General features: G+C 43.5%; 1 protein-coding gene across 11 annotated transcripts in view, besides 1 other annotated feature; it reads left to right on the forward strand.

Moving 5' to 3' along the window:
- Positions 1-16408, forward strand: part of ARHGAP25 (Rho GTPase activating protein 25) — a 116290-nt gene that overhangs the window by 95020 nt on the left and 4862 nt on the right. For 6 of the 11 annotated variants that reach the window (XM_011533207.4, NM_001007231.3, NM_001364820.1 and 3 more), the window contains 5 exons: positions 1710-1917; positions 7724-7856; positions 10726-10799; positions 12310-12431; positions 13560-13756. In XM_011533207.4, the coding sequence (XP_011531509.1) occupies positions 1710-1917; positions 7724-7856; positions 10726-10799; positions 12310-12431; positions 13560-13756 (734 nt within the window). Of the gene's footprint in view, positions 1-1165; positions 1377-1709; positions 1918-7723; positions 7857-10725; positions 10800-12309; positions 12432-13559; positions 13757-16408 lie in introns of those variants that run through there. The other 5 variants (NM_001364819.1, NM_001166277.2, NM_014882.3 and 2 more) reach the window with 3 other exon arrangements.
- Positions 9974-10474: an enhancer, noted in NCBI's record as "H3K4me1 hESC enhancer chr2:69042669-69043169 (GRCh37/hg19 assembly coordinates)". NCBI's record gives its function as "activates a minimal SCP1, AML or CMV promoter by ChIP-STARR-seq in primed H9 embryonic stem cells {active_cell/tissue: H9 hESC(primed)}" and the evidence as "EXISTENCE:reporter gene assay evidence [ECO:0000049][PMID:30033119]".

The raw sequence follows: 16408 nt of genomic DNA on the forward strand, positions 1-16408 counted from the left end.
GAGAAAGGCGCTCAAGCAGAATGATGCTTTAGAAAGGCAAGCAGCAGGAGGGTTTCGAACATGATAGAGAGAAGAGACTGTAGCGGTTACAGGTGAGAGAGGAGGCTGGCCTACGCTGGGTAGTGGGTAGGAGCGGAAAAGAACATGAGGGTCAAGAGCCTGGTACAGCTCTATACAGGTGGAATCCACAGGAACTCGAGGTGGGATGGAGGGGACCAACGTGAGAGAGAGAATCATGGGGAGAGTCAAGTGACTTTGCAAACGGATGTCCTAGGGATTGAAGTGCTGGGTGCAGCAGAGCCCTGATTATGGCAGAGGGAAAGTCACGCAGGACAGGACAGAAGCCACGGCCTGTCTTCTGAACCTCCAGGGTATGGAAGCCTGGTGGGAGAATGGATAGGCAGTGGTTGTCCTGATTTGTAAATTTGTCTTCTCACACTGCCGGTGCGGGGAAACTGTGGAGCAAAGTTTCTCCACGCAGACAGAGCTGGGGTGGAGCTGGCCCACACTTGCTTTGCTGGAGGCAGGGTAATTTGGGAAAATATTTTTGGAAAGCAATTTGCATGCCATCAAGTTATAAAAATGTTCAAACCTCTTGACCCAGTAATTCTACACTTGGGAATTTGTCCTAAGGAAATAGTTCAAAAGAATGAAACGCTTTTGTTCATGCATCCAAATGTTAATTAATTAGAAATTATGCATTGTACTGCATACATTCCAGGATCTCTGCCAGGTGAATGAACGTGTTTGCTGTGGCAATGTTTATAATTAGGACATAGTAAACAACCTAAATTATTTTAAATGCCACAGTGGTTTAGTGAGATGAAACATCTATGTGATAGACTACAGTAGTCCCTCTTTATCCTTGGGGGGATACATTTCAAGACCGCAGTGGATGCCTGAGATCTCAGGTAGTACTGAACCCTATACACATTATGTCTTTTCAGTCTTATAACTGAGACAACTACTAAGTATAACTGAGACAACTACTACGCGACTCCTGGGCAAGTAGTGTATATAACGTGGATACACTGGACAAAGGGATGACTCACATCTTAGGCTGGACCGAGCGGGACCGCGAGAGATTTCATCATGCTACTCAGAATGACATGCAATTTAAAACTTATGAACTGTTTGTTTCTGGAATTTTGCATTTAATATTTTCAGACTGCAGTTGACCGTGGATAAGGGAGGATGCCATACTGTGTTATGCTTTACTACTCTGTGACGCCAGTGGAACTCAAAACGGCCTGCTTGCTGCCGTGGTTAAGGCATATTGTTGGGAGTTCACTGCCTAGGCCTGAATCCCAACTGTGTCATGCTCTGAGCTGCCTGACTTTGGCAAGTGTCTAAGGCTCAGTGTCTTTAACAGTAAGGTGCGTGTGACATTAATACCATCTCATGGGGTTGCTGTCAAGGTTAAAGGACAAAAAGTGTGCAATTCCTAGCAAAAGAATTCAGTAAAAGCCAACCATTATTTTAAATATGTAAGAAATGTGGGTCAATATAAAAAGACTGATAAAGACTGCCTCAAATTTACAGGCCCCTATTTATAGCTTCAGGAAATATTCTGAGTGATTTATCTCCCATATTTTGTCTAGTATCATTGCAATAAAACCTGTGAAGACACAGGTGACACAGAAAGTCAAGAAATAGTTCATCCAAGGAAGCACAGAATGACGGGCAGGTTCTGTTTGCTCTCTCCTCAGCAGTGTTTGGCCAGCGCTTGGATGAGACTGTGGCCTATGAACAGAAATTCGGCCCCCATCTGGTGCCCATCCTGGTGGAGAAATGTGCAGAGTTCATCCTGGAGCACGGCCGGAATGAAGAGGGCATCTTCCGTCTGCCTGGGCAGGACAACCTGGTGAAGCAGCTGAGAGACGCTTTTGATGCTGGGGAGCGGCCCTCCTTTGACAGGTACATTGCCCCACTGCAGTGTCCCACCTCTGCCCTCCCCTCTGCTTGGCTTGGCTGGGAGGGCCTCTCCATTCCAGTTGAGCTATGGGACTTGCATAGAGACTTCTAAGAGCCCTGGCTTACAACAGAAAGAGCCTTTGTTTCGCCCATGATTGGGAATTTGGGAGACGGGAGCACAGTTAGGAGAGTGTGCAGATAGTTTATGTGACAGATGATGTGAACCAGAACTGGAACCCTGCTGGGCAGATTCAGGTGATGTTTAAGGCACAGGAGAAGGTGATGTGCAGAGGAGGGGAGAAAGATGGGACGTTGCCTGAGGCTCACCCTTCAGGACAGATGAGGAACATGGAAGAGCTGAGCTGTACAAACACTCAGTGTAGTGGAGAATGCACCAGATCTATATCCAAGGGCACCAGCGGCTTTCGTTAGCATTCCAGAAGTGGCTAGAACCAGGACTTCTTGTTAGTTTCCTGGATCACAGTACTACGTGATTCTGACTCAGTTCTGAGCCCTTTTGCAGGAGCACATCCTGATATCTTGGCCGCCTGGCATTCCTAAGTGTGGAGGTCTCCCAGCCCTGTTTGGGGCATATCAGGCATAGTGACATTTCCTCCCACCACCCCCTTCCTCCCCACCTTCTCCAGCCACTCAGCTGAGGTTTCCTTCTCTGCCACACTCAGCTAGTAAAATCCCCACCCGATGTTGTGCAATCTCCACCCCAGTTGCCTGCGTGAACTTGTCCTGCTGGCATAAGATTGACTGCTCTTTCCAAATTAGCAGCCCATAAACCAAGGTTTAATAAGATGGGCCTGAACTCTACCCAGTTTCCAAAAATGAAAGTTGCTAAGCTTATTTTGGACAATGGGGTTGGGTTGATTCTGAGAAAATTGTGAAGACCTAAGTGTCATCTTGTGTAGAAGCTCCCTCACCCCTCACTCTAATCACCAACGCCGCCCATTTTTCCTCCAAAGCTTCTCTGAGGTCTATATGTTTCTCTCCATGCTTATGGCCACAGTTGTAGTTTGGACAACCATAGGGGTGTCTTTCTTGCCCTTAATAAGTTAATTTCCCATGGGTGCTATATTTTAGCACCCTAGGAAGCAAGAGATGGGGTTCTTATTGGAACAATAGCCCGTTATTGGCATCAAACACAGGGACCTTTCAGCAGCACCATAAACTGCACCTTGTTATCAGGCACTTGTTCCATTATGCTCACCACCTTTATATTCAGTTTCTTTTTATGTTTTCAGTTAACCTTGGCCTGAAGAAAGATACAGGTGGGTTGTTGCTAGAGCAATGCCATATAGTGTGCCAAAAGGAATAGAGGTGATTGCTGGGATATGCCAAATAACTGCCTTAGGCTCTAGCCTATGCACTATGGAGTTGGCATGGGTGGTGGTGTGGGAATCTTTGATTATTTTGAAATATTTGAGGCTGGAAGAAGGAAAATTACCTTACCTTGCGACATCTCCACCCCTAGAAGTGAGGGGTAGGGTTTTTACACATCCAGAAATAGGAAAGGTCATCGGGGGCTTTTCAGGGGCTTCGCAGGGGCAACTCTTAGGTCCACATAACCCTTGAGAGGACAAGTCTGATTTGGGAGGTATGACTGACTCTTATTTGATTCTTATTATTTAGTTACATTTGGGCATATTTAGGAGAGACCAGGTCTTCTCTCTCCTATTCCACTCATGATTCTGAAAACCCTCTTTTCCCCTTTTTCTGCCCTCTCTCCACCCCCTTTTATACTCCCCTACTTCTCATTCCATGGTGTGTTTTGGTGTTGAGGGCTGTGCCCCGCAATGGGCAGAGCATAGAATGCCGGATGCATAGGGTAGGGAAAGGAGGGGAGGGGCTTACAGGGATCAGGCTGACTTTGGGATCATAGAATTGACAAAACCAATAACTCAAGACAGGTCAACAAAACTGGCAAATTAACTCTGAAGTGAAAGTGACCAGTGTTAGATGATTTCCTGAGAGTGATTCTGGCCTGGGAGTGGGAGAGGAAGAGACCAGCCTTGAGACAGTGTTAACCTGAATTGTGTGTGGGAGTTCTGAAGAGGGGCAGTGTGAAAGGGGGTGGAAAGAGGGCAGGAAAGGGGGAAAGGGAGGGTTTTCAGAGTCAAGAGCAGACCAGGAGTGAGAAGCTATGGTTGTAGCTTTTTCTGCCTCCTATAAAAGGAATTCTAGGAGTCAGTGGGTGGAAGAAGGGGTATTTGGGAGAGCAAGGAGCTCCCTCTTGCTGTCCCCAACTTCACGGCTGTGGGAACTCACCCAGATCCTCTGCATTGGTTATGTGCTGGATTCCACCCCAAGATGCCCCCATTACCTCACTAGAATGAAGGTGAGCAAAGTTGCTGTTTGGTGAGACTAGTGCAGGTCTTTCTGGTCTCCTTAGACACAAAAATGTGAACTTTAAAATCTCCTTGCCAAGTTTCTACCAGGATGGACACTGCCTGGCTACAAAGCTAACACACTTCTCACCCCTATGTGTCTGTGAGAAATGCACTTACAGACATGCCACATTACAAGCATCAATGCCCCCAGGGAAGGGCTGGCAGAACCATCTGAGTCTTGGGTAATCCCTAGTGCATCAGCCGTTGAACCCAGAAGCCACCTGGCTCCTGACTTACTCTTAGCCCTTGATTAAAAAAAAAAAAAAAAAAAGAATCATTTAAGGGTGCTCTATTGGGTTAGAGGAACAGCAAACTCAGAAAAAATAATGCTACAAATTTAGACCATAAAATAGACATCTGAGTTAGCCCTAGTACAATGGGGTGCTCACATTAAAATAAAAATTTATAGAAATAATTGTTTAAGTTCCATGGTGTTAAGTGCTAAAAAGGAAACTCAACACTATGAAAACTTAGAACAGGGGCTTTTCACATGGTCTTGTGTATTTAGGGAGGTCCCCAAGAAAATGACATTTAAGCTGAGACCCAATAAACAAGAATGAGAGTTAGCAAGGCCCAGCAGTGGGCATGGCTTGTCAGGATTATTTTTGGTGAAATGAACTGGGAAGCTTTCTGTAAGTTTCAGTGTTGTAAGATGATTTATATAGCTAATTTTGCTCTTTTATTATAACTTTGAAGTATCCATGGTGTAGCTGTATTTATAATCCCTTTCTCTTTTCTAATGATGGATGCTTTTGCTGTCTAAATTTCTCCTGATTAAACTGTCTAGGTGTCTTTTTTATTGTTGTTGTTTCTCTTCAAAAGTTCAAAAGATCCAATTTCTTTTCTTTTCTTCTCTTTTTTTTTTTTTTTTTTTTTGAGACCAAGGCTAGAGTGCAGTGGTTTCACCCAGGCTAGAGTTCAGTGGTGTGATCTTGGCTCACTGCAACCTCTGCCTCCTGGATTCAAGTTATTCTCCTGCCTCAGCCTCCTGAGTAGCTGGGATTAAAGGCACCTGCCACCACGCCCAGCCAATTTTTGTATTTTTAGTAGAGATGGGGTTTTGTCCTGTTGGCTAGGCTGGTCTCGAACTCCTGACCTCAAGTTCTCCACCCGCCTTGGCCTCCCGAAGTGCTGGGACTACAGACATAAGCCACTGTTCCCAGCCAGGATCCAGTTTCTTGAATTATCCTTTACACTGTTTCTTCCCTTTCAAACTCTGTTTTCTTCACTCATTCCATTGGTGTGTTTTGGTGTTGAGGACTGTGCCCTAGAGTGGGCAGAGTATAGAATGCTGGAGGCATAGGGTAGTGAAAGGAGGGGAGAGGCTTACAAGGATCAGTGTGACTTTAGGATAATAGAATTGAAGGGATTTGGAAGACTGATTGGATGGGGGTGAAGGAGAGGTCCCAATCAAACAGGAGTCCCAGGATGCTGATAGAGACAAATGGGTGGATTGCAGTGTAGGGACTTTAGGAAGATGCAACTTTTGGACTTTGGGAGAATTCTGCTCCTGCAAATTGTCAGCTGACTGTCTTTCTGCCACTTTCTCGGGAACTTCTCATAACATATTTTGACAAAAGTACTTTTTCTAGCCTGGCTTTGCCTTGGGTATTTTTGGGCAGTGACTCAGCAGGGAAGGATTTTCCAGAATCCCCATGTTAAATGAATGGTTCCTACCCCAGATTTCCTGAGGGCAGCCATGGAGCATAGAGTGGGCTCTGTGCCAGCCCGTGTTCTCCTATTGAGGTAGAGTTCACAGGCTGCAAAGGGGAAGCCTTTTCAGAGACAGCTACAACAACTGGCTGTCAAAACCAAAGTAAAATGCACACAAAGCACCAAGACAGAGCTTTACAATCAAGCCCCAGTATTCTTGCTTCTGTTGCCTCACATGCCTCCCTTCTCCTCCTCTTGTCCAGATCCACCCCTCCCTTCCCTCCTAGGACCAGGAGACATGTTCTCCAGCCTATTCTATATTTCTCATCACTGAAATCAAGGAGATTCCAAGGTTATTCTGGACCTCTTGCCACATCACAGCTTTTCACGATGCTACCAGGGCTGCTACCTAAGAATGCCAGGTTTTATCAATATGAAATAAACAAACATTTCTTCAATAATCAGCTTCAGGAATATGGTAGTGAATCTTATTTTCCCTTGTAGTGTTGCAGAATCAATGCAATCGCCTTGTAAGCCAGGGGTCAACAAACTTTTCTTAATGGGCCACATATTAAATATTTAGGCTTTGCAGGCCAGATGGTCTTTATTGCAACTATAATACTCTGCTCAGTACATAAATGAACAAGTGTGGTGGTGTTCTTCTATAATTTTACTTACAGATGCTGACATCTGAATTTCCTGTAATTTTTACATCACGACACACTCTTCTTCTTGTGAGTGTTTTTTCCCCCAGCTATTTAAAAATGTAAAAATAATTCTTAGCTCCCAGGCTGTACAAATAGAGGCAGTGGGACAGATTTGGCTCCTGGCCCGTGGCTTGCCAAGCCCTCCTGTAAATGGAGAAGCTGAACTGAACAGCCGTGCCTCTTTCAGTCAATCAGGCCCACGGGGAGGCGTCCTCTCCTCATGCTCCAGGCTGACACACATGCTGCCTGCCTCATGCCCTAACTCCTCACCGCCTTTCAGAGTTCATCTGAGGTACTCTTTCATCTGACAAGTCACCTATGTGTTCCCATCTCTGCCTTGGGTGTTCTTTTTCCATACTTCCATAGGATCCTGGGTCCTGGGCTTCCCATATCATGGCATTAGCCGCACAGTATTGTAAGGACATTTTAATACTTGAGTCCCCAGAGTTCTGTGGCTCGATGGGGCCAGGGCTCCATCCCTGGATTGGATGGCTACTGATGTCCCTTGGATTGGCTACTGAAATCCCAGTGCTTGACAAGTATCTTGCAGTATCTTGCACCTAATAGGTTTTCTTGATGCTTATTGATTGAGTGAATTATTGAGTAAATACGTGAGTGAACCTCAGAACTATTTTAAGCACTCTGGAAGATTAAAGAGAAGAATGGACCAAGGATATAAAGGAGTTAACACAAGCAATATTAGAGACTAATTAGACAATGCTAATTGTGAGGCACTAAATGACTTGAAGAAAGAAGAAAGCAATAAAGACGAAAATCATTAAGGAACGTTTAGTAAAAATGTAGACCTTGAACTTACCTTTGAGGTAGTTGGGTGGAAGAGACAGAGGAACATTTATTCAAGAATGTTGTTCCAGAAGGGCGAATTAACAAAAATGTTTTGGTCTGATTCTTCTTTATCAGACTACTCCTCTGCAAAATTTCCCTTTGTAATTTATGGTTCTATTCACTGAATCATCAGAATGGAAGAGAGGAACATCCTAAAGTTTTTCTTTCAAAGAGTTTCACAGAGCGTTGCTTATTTTCTTCCAGAGACACAGATGTGCACACTGTGGCTTCCCTGTTAAAGCTCTACCTCCGAGACCTCCCAGAGCCCGTGGTTCCCTGGAGCCAGTACGAAGGGTTCCTGCTCTGTGGGCAGCTCACGAATGCGGATGAGGCAAAGGTTTGCATCTTAGAGTTAGTTGTCCTGCCTTAGAAGAAAGTGATTGGTTTTCTGGACACTAATCCAGTAGGCAACAGTGGGTCAAGGGGCCTGTACTTTTTGGTAAGATAGTCAAATGCAACTTCCTCAGCAACAAAAGGTATATGAACTCAATCATAATGACTGGCAAACCACAGCCTTCATGAGATGCAATAATCCAATAAAGAATTGGACCATAATCAAATACTGCTAGATCACATTAAAAGTAGTGAGAAAAGGAGGATACATCGGAGGACGGTTTCAAGCATGATGGCCTTGCTGAGACTTGCTGGGACACAAGGACAGGCTGGAAGGCAGGTGTGAGGTCACATAGCTCAAGCTCTACAGCAGCTGTGAGTGTCAGGCGTGGTCATCCAAGGAATGCATGTGCCAGGGAGAAGAAGGACAGGGAGGGTTTTTTGATTGTTTTTCTTTTCAGCCACAGCTGCCTGTAGGGTCTGTAACCACCATCTGCAATATGCTTGTGAGAGTGCACAAGTTCACTAACAAGATTTTTGATCCTGTATAAATTTATTTCTAGAGAGGCCTTATAGTCAACAATGACCACACTGTAGTCATGTTATTATAATCAACCAACCAACCAAACAACCAAAGAAACTGATGAAACCCAACCAACAACAATAAACCTTGATGATTTTTAAACAAGATTTTCAAATCCAAGTGATCCATGAAGAAGTTGATGTTTATATCGACTATGTTAAAAGCCCTCTCTGGCAAAATGGTGCACAGAAAAATCTATAATGAGACCTAGATTTAACCTTGATTTTGCCATTAGACAAATTATGCATCTTTTATAAGACTCAGTTTATTTACTTAGACCAATAGAACTTTCTATGGTAATGGAACTTTTATATATCTGCACCGTTCAATATGGTGACCACCAGCCACACATGGCTATTGGGCATCTAAAATGTGGCTAGTGCACCTGGGAAGCCAAATTCCTAATTTTATTTAATTTTGATTTAGTTAAATTTAAGTAGTTACATGTGGCAAGTAACTGCTATATTAGACACCACAAACTTAGATAATTTTCATAGTAATATCAGCCATGCCTAGGATTGTTTTGAGGACCCAGGGATATGATACTGGTGGGTGACTTTAAAATTTTTTTCAATATAAGGGAAGGTTTATTATCTTCCACACTTCAAAATTTATTAGATAGTCTGCTTCATAGAATATATTTATTTAAAACGAATGAAGAAATAGCACCCTAGCCCTGCAAGAAAACACAGCTGTGAGAACTTCCATCCCTGACTAAGGGTGGGGAGAGCATCATGATTTGAATAGATCCTGACATAAGAGAAAAGCTGACTTTATATTTCAAAATTAAGAAAGGAAGAGAACATGATACAGGTTTTGTAGCTCTTTTCCAAACAAAAATTAGATTGCATGGATCTGAGGTACGATATTTTGTGCGTAACTTAAGAATTTTATTGGGGGAGGGAGAAAGGGATATGAAAAGTCTTAACTTATACTGGTATATCTGCTCACCATTGTGAAAGTAATAAAATTTTATGGAATAAGGTTTAAAAGGCAGCTAAAAAGATAAACGTTTCAGATCGCATCTCACCCCTGGGTTCTGGGGAAAGTAAAGGAGGCAGCTAGATGCTGTTCTGACAATAAGATTCCCACCCCTGCACTCACTTTAGACTTGCTTCTCCCAGCTTTCTTAATCTCAGCATCTTTGAGAGTTTCCACATCTGTGGCAATGCATGTCTACACACAGGGACCAAGGTCCTTCTCACTGGTGAAAACATGGCAGAGGTGGCAGCTAGGAGGGGTGAGTCTGTAGCAACCTTTGCAATGAATTTACTCGACTCAACTGAAGAAGGGATCTCAGCATGAAGCTGATGCTACGCTAAGAAGGTCTATATCTACGGAAGCTGCTGCGTGTAGGCTGACAAGGCTGGAGGGTGCGTTTTCTGCAGGAGAGCTGCTCAGGTTTGAGGAGTGCCTGCACACCGGCATGTGAATTGTGTACTCTCTTTTTTTTTTTTTTTTTTTTTTTTTGAGATGGAGTTTGGCTCTTTCGCCCAGGCTGGAGTGCAGTGGCGCGATCTCAGCTCACTGCAATCTCCGCCTTCCGGTTTCAAGCGATTCTTCTGCCTCAGCCTCCCGAGTAGCTGGGGTTACAGCCGTCCGCCACCACGCCCGGCTAGTGAATTGTGTACTCTCACAAGCACCATGTTGCAGATGGTGATTACAGACCCTACAGGCAGCTGTGGTTGAAAAGAACACGGAAAAGCTCGCTGTCCCTCTTCTCTCCAGCACATGCATTCCTAGTAGACCTTGCCTGACATCCACGGCCATCCATTGCAGAGCTTGAACAGTCTGACCTTGCACCGTCCTCCAGCGTGGTCTGCCTGTCTCTGTGTCCCGGCATGTCTCAGATAGGCCACAGTGCTTGAAATCCTTCTCAGAAGAATCCTCCTTTTCTCACCAGTCTTAAAGTGATTCTGAGATATCTTATTGTGGTCTTATTCTTTATTGGATTGTTACCTCTCAAGCATTCATTCAGCAAACAATTAACGTATGAGTTGTTAAACAGTCCTTCCTTAGAGTAGCTCAGGGTCAAGGGTGGGGTGCAGTGGCATAATTACATATAAATAAAAGTATACATAACAAAAACTATGACCCTTTTAAAAAAAATTCTGTGAGAATTGAGTTATTTCCCTTTTTTTTTTTAAACCCACAGAACTACAGGAACAGGAATGACTGCCAAAGTGTTGTTTCTGCACAGATACACCAATTCTGTCCCAGGGTCTCCTTGCTGGCACATGGGCAGGCTCATTTACTGGTAAATGATTTACTTGTGTAAATCTCTTCCCAGGCTCAGCAGGAGTTGATGAAGCAGCTCTCCATCCTTCCTCGTGACAACTATAGTCTCCTGAGCTACATCTGCAGGTGAGAGGCCCCTGGTATCAACTCTGCAGTTTTCAACCCCATCAGAAAGAAGCTCCTAGTTAGAAGAGGAGGGACCACGTCTGTGAACAGAGAGATTCTGGTCTAGCACTTTGGAAGATCAGCTGTATTCACATAGCACTGAAGTAGCTTCCTGTATAATTTCAAGGATTCTGAAAACCTGGTTGAACCAAAAAATGAACGTGCTCCCCCATTTAGGCCTGCCTCAGCACTGCCCAGAGTCCTGGTACATGCAAGAGAACCCAGAATCCTTATAATGTTTCTAGAATGATCTCCCATCTTTGTGATTCTGAGCCGTAGCTTAGCTCCAGGGAGACATTCATTCTGGGCCACCCTGGTTATTTTCCTTCAGCCCTTTCTGGGGACCTGCTGTGCGCCACCCCTGTGGCAACTCTAGCTGTGGATTGACCCAGATCTGGCTCGGCTGGGAACTGGGATCTTCATCCCAGACTGACCTGAATTTTGTCTTTTATTTTTTAAAAATAATTTGTTGTAGTTCCTAGATTATAAAAGTCATGCTTGCTTGACTTGGAAACCAGGAAGATATAGCAAACAGTAAATGAGAAATAAAAAGGACCCACAATCCCTTCACCAGCAACAAGCACTATTAACACTTTGGCATTTTTCCTTCTGGGTGTTTTCTCTCTGTGATAAATCTTTACATACCTTAATGTAAATATAGGGGAATAATATTTTATACTAAATCAAAATTATATAAAGGATTGTGTCCTTTTTTTTGGTTTAATGTTTTATTATGAGCATTTCCCTATGTCATAAAATTGGATTATAAATAACTTCATAATATTTCATAATGTTTCATCATTTGGACACGTCACCAATATTTAATAATTGCTCTGTATTTGAAATTGTGTTGCTTCATTCTATCCATTTTTAAATGGTTCTTTGAGAGAGTATTTAGAAATTCCCTGTTTTTACAGTGAATCTGAGAGCTTTGTGCCTCAAAGGGGTAGAATTTTAACAAAAATTCAGTATTAGTTATGGAGAACCTGCTGAGAATTAGCAATGCTTGTGCTCTAATCAGAGGATGAGAGCAAGGAGGCACCATGGATTCCCCAGGCCTGAGATCTTCTTACCAATAAAGTTTTCCTCTCTGGAGACTTGGGTGGGATGAGTGCTGAGAGCTGGGAGATAAGCCTATCAAGGCAGACATGGGTATGGGCAGATACCCATTTTACCTTTTCTAGTCCAGTCTGAGCTCCTGGAAGTGGATCTTGCCTCCTGCTTATGTGATTCCATTCACCTCCCCATCCCCCACCCCAGCAGCTGGGCAGGACCCTCCTGATTTCTCTTCCTTCCTTGGTCTTGGGTCTTTCAGGATGAGGCTAAATTCTTGTGGGCAGAGCAGGCTGGTCTCATTCCTGAGTCTGGGAGGAAAGCATTGGATCCATCCCTGAGTTCTCATTGGAACCCTGTAGTGCTTCCTCCTGGCTACTTCCTGCTTTCTACCATGGGATTTCTTGGCTGTCTGTAGGTTCCTACATGAAATACAGCTGAACTGTGCTGTTAACAAGATGAGTGTGGACAACCTGGCTACTGTGATTGGTGTGAATCTCATCAGGTCGAAGGTCGAAGACCCTGCCGTGATCATGAGAGGTATGGCTGGTCCCGTAGTGAAAGCAGGTACCCAGGAAATAACAATTACAACATTCCCCCTGATATTTGTGCACTGCTCTGTAGTTTCCCAAGCATTTTAAGCTGGTTATCAATCTCATCTGAATCATGCAATAGCCTTGTGAGGTAGGCAGGGCAGGAATTGTGTCCATTTTTCAGATCACAACAAAGGACAGAGGTCAAGGGTTTGCCCAATGGTCCCACAGTGCAGTAGACTAGTACAATAATAGCTAGCTAGTGTTTGTCAGTCTTTTATTACTTTTAAATACCCTTAGCCAGATTGAGCAAGCAGGTTTCATTTTATTTTATTTTATTTTTATTTAGGTATTTATTGAGTTGGAGCCTCACTCTGTTGCCTAGGCTGGAGTGCAGTGGTGCAAACTTAGCTCACTGTAATCTCTGCCTCCAGGGTTCAAGTGATTCTCCTGCCTCAGCCTCCCAAGTAGCTGGGACTACAGGCATAAACCCCCACACCCAGATAATTTTTGTAATTTTAGTAGAGACAGGGTTTTACCATGTTGGCCAGGCTGGTCTCGAACTCCTGACCTCAAGTGATCTTCCCACCTCGGCCTCCCAAAGTGCTGGGATTACAGGCGTGAGCCGCTGTGCCCAGCCAGCTTTCATTTTACAAGCCAGCCCACAAAAAGGCTGCTTAAAAAGCTGTGCTGTGCAGGCTTCTGAGGCTGTGTCCTGACACAGAGTACTGATATCTGCCATGGGCATGGGGGCAGAAAGCCTGGCACATATTTGCTCTGTGTCTGATAAGAAACCAGATATCATATTGAGGACCACATCAGGAGAGAAAGATATCTTCATTTTCTCTGCTGTTTTATTGCCTACTTTCCTGATCAAAAACTAATCCAGTGGACTATTGGCTCCCTCTGAAACAGCTCCCTCTTTTATTCTACTCCCGTGTCCTTCTGTTCCATCCCTTTCAACATAATCTCCAACTCCAAGCAATTAAAAAGGGTCTTTTGAGAAGCAAAATGAGGCCCTTCTGGGCCCTATAGTTTTAGAACCGAGTTTGGAGACATCCACGGGTGGGGATCCTTGAGGACTGACTACCTGCCTCCTACACTACACAACAGATCTTTTTCTTCTGTCTTTCAGGGACTCCTCAGATCCAAAGAGTGATGACTATGATGATCAGAGACCATGAAGTCCTCTTCCCCAAGTCCAAGGATATACCCCTGTCACCCCCTGCCCAGAAAAATGACCCCAAGAAAGCTCCAGTGGCCCGAAGCTCTGTAGGCTGGGATGCCACTGAAGACCTCCGAATTTCTAGGACAGACAGCTTCAGTAGCATGGTAAGGTGCAGAGAACCTTCCTGCTTCCATTGGGTTCTTCCTTTAGTCCAGGCCATCCCATGTAAGGCCTGCTCTCGGGTGGCAATTTGGGGAGTTTTAGGTGATGCAGTGGCAGTGGGCGCTGCTGCTACAGACTCATCTGAACACACCTTGAAAGCCTGGCCTCTTTCCAAATCTAGTTTCTATTGGCATCTTTGAGGGGGGTGAGTGACAAGTGTGCCAATCACCCAGTGACTGAGCAATGAGGTCCTCACTGAAGCCCACTCTGAAAGAGAGACTCAAATACAGTCCAGAGAAGTTCAGTGGGAAAAATGTATACAACATTGTAAATGTTTTGGTCAGAATTGTTGAAAATTCTGGGTGAACGTCCAGAGAAAACTGGTTTCCTGCTAACCCATGAAACGTGATTCCTTTCTCAGAGTATGTGATGTGTTTGTGTAATATTTCTCATTCCTCGATAAGCCGTCTCAGCCATGTCAGCCCCCACATTTGTGCTGAAGGGTTGAAACTCACGTTCCCAATGTCCAAAAGCTCTGCTGACTCTGAAATGTAGACCTCGTGAGGACAATAATTTACAAAGGTCAAATATTTTTATATATTTATAGGAACAAATATTTTTACAAAGAACATGTGAACTTTATATAGTAGCTTGATCTTTATGTGTGGCCAAAAAATGGATTTCAAATTTCTAGTTGACCAGATGATTCAAGTTACCTACAGTACTGTTAGCCCTGAAGATTGTTTTTAAAAGGCAGGTAGTGGGTAGTGGTTGTAGTTTTTCTTAGGATAGGTCTTTCTGAAGGCAATGCATTCTACTAACACTCTAAAACTAAAATAAAATTTAAAAATGCTCATACTTCATGTAACAAGATCATCCCACAGTCCTTGAGAATAGCTATTATTTTACTCATTTAATAGGTTTCTGCCATTTACTGATTTCTGTGGGCAGGCACTATGCTGGGAAATTTACACTGATCACCTCTAGAGTCCTCATATTACATAACATTGTAGGGCAGAATTTATCATTCGTATTGTGTTATTGAGGAGCAGAAACTCAGAGAGGTTGAGCAGCTGGCCCAATGTAGTAGCACTAGCTTGTTATAGAGGAGGACTCAGATCCAGTCCTCCCTTCAGAACCCAGGTACCTCTAACTCCGGGTGGGGTTTCTGAAGCAAGCAATTGGCTGCAAAGGTTAAAGGGAGGGCTCGAACCTGATTGTCTGATTTTATGTTTAGGTCTCACTTGATCTTAGCCAAAAGGCCGAGAAGTGATTGATTTTGTGTTTAGGTCTCATATTCTCTCTCCTTTTTCTTTATAATTTCATTAAAAAATATATAATATATGCACATGGTTCAAGTAATCAAAAAGATAGAAAAAGGTATACGTTGAGAAGTTCTGCTCCCTCCCGTATCCCCACCCACCCCATCCCTCACTGCCTTAGTTTCTTATTTATCCTTCCAATGTTCCTTTATGAAAATATAAGAAGACATGAGTGTAAATTATTTACCTCCTTTTTTACACAAAATGTAGTATAATTCTCTCTCTCTCTACAGTCACACACATACACATACAGTCACACACAAACTCCCACACAAAACTATGTATCTTGCATTTTTGTACTTAGCAGTATATTCTGGAGACTTTTTCATGTCAATACATAAACAGCTACCTCATATGACCTCATGTTTTCTAGAGGTGTATAGTGTCCCATTCTGTAGATGTACCAGTCCCTATAGATGAACACACTGCCTTCAGTTCTTTTCTTTTTCTTTCTTTTTTTTTTTTTTTTTTTTTTGTGACAGGGTCTCACTTTATTGCTTAAGCTGGAGTGCGGTGGTGCGATCACAGCTTACTGCAGCCTTGACCTCCTGCTGAGGCAATCCTTCGGCCTCGGCCTCCCAAGTAGCTGGGACTACAGGTGCATACTACCATGCTGGGCTAAATTGTTTTGCGTATTTTTTGTAGAGACAAGGTTTCAACATGTTGCCCAGCCTGGCCTTGAACTCCTGAGCTCAAGTGATCCACCCTCCTCAGCCTCCCAAAGTGCTGGGATTACAGGCATCAGCCGCTGCACCCAGCCTTTCAGTTCTTCATACTACAAAAGAAGCTGCAATAAATAACTCTGGGACCTCCTTTTGTACTCAGGCAGATGTATTTCTCAAATGCATTTTCAGAAGTGGGCTTGATGGGTCAGAGGGTAAATAGATTTGATTGTATGATTTTGAGACAAATTATTGGAGTTTGTGTCATTTTACACTTCCAGAAGCAATGCATGAAAGAACTGTTTTCCTACAGTTTCACCAACAGAGTTTGTTGTCAAATTTTGGGGGTTTGCTCATCTGATAAGTGAGAACTGGCATTTCAGTAATTTTAATTTTAATTTGAGTTTCTTGTATTATGAGAGAGGCTGAACATCTTTTCCTATGTACAAGGACTAGTTTCATTTTTTCCTCTGTGAGCTGCCTGATCTTGTCCTTTGCCCATAATTACATTGGTTGTTGATCTCTTTCTTCACAATTTTTATGAACTTTATCTATTAAGGAGAGTAACCAATTGTCTGATATGCATTGCAAATACTTTTTGCTAGTTTTTTTTTTTTTTTTTTTTTTGGTTTGGCATGTGGTGATTTGTTCTTTTGTTTTTATTTTTGTT

Source organism: Homo sapiens, chromosome 2, assembly GCF_000001405.40.
Source record: "Homo sapiens chromosome 2, GRCh38.p14 Primary Assembly".
In the NCBI taxonomy this organism is placed as follows: domain Eukaryota; kingdom Metazoa; phylum Chordata; class Mammalia; order Primates; family Hominidae; genus Homo; species Homo sapiens.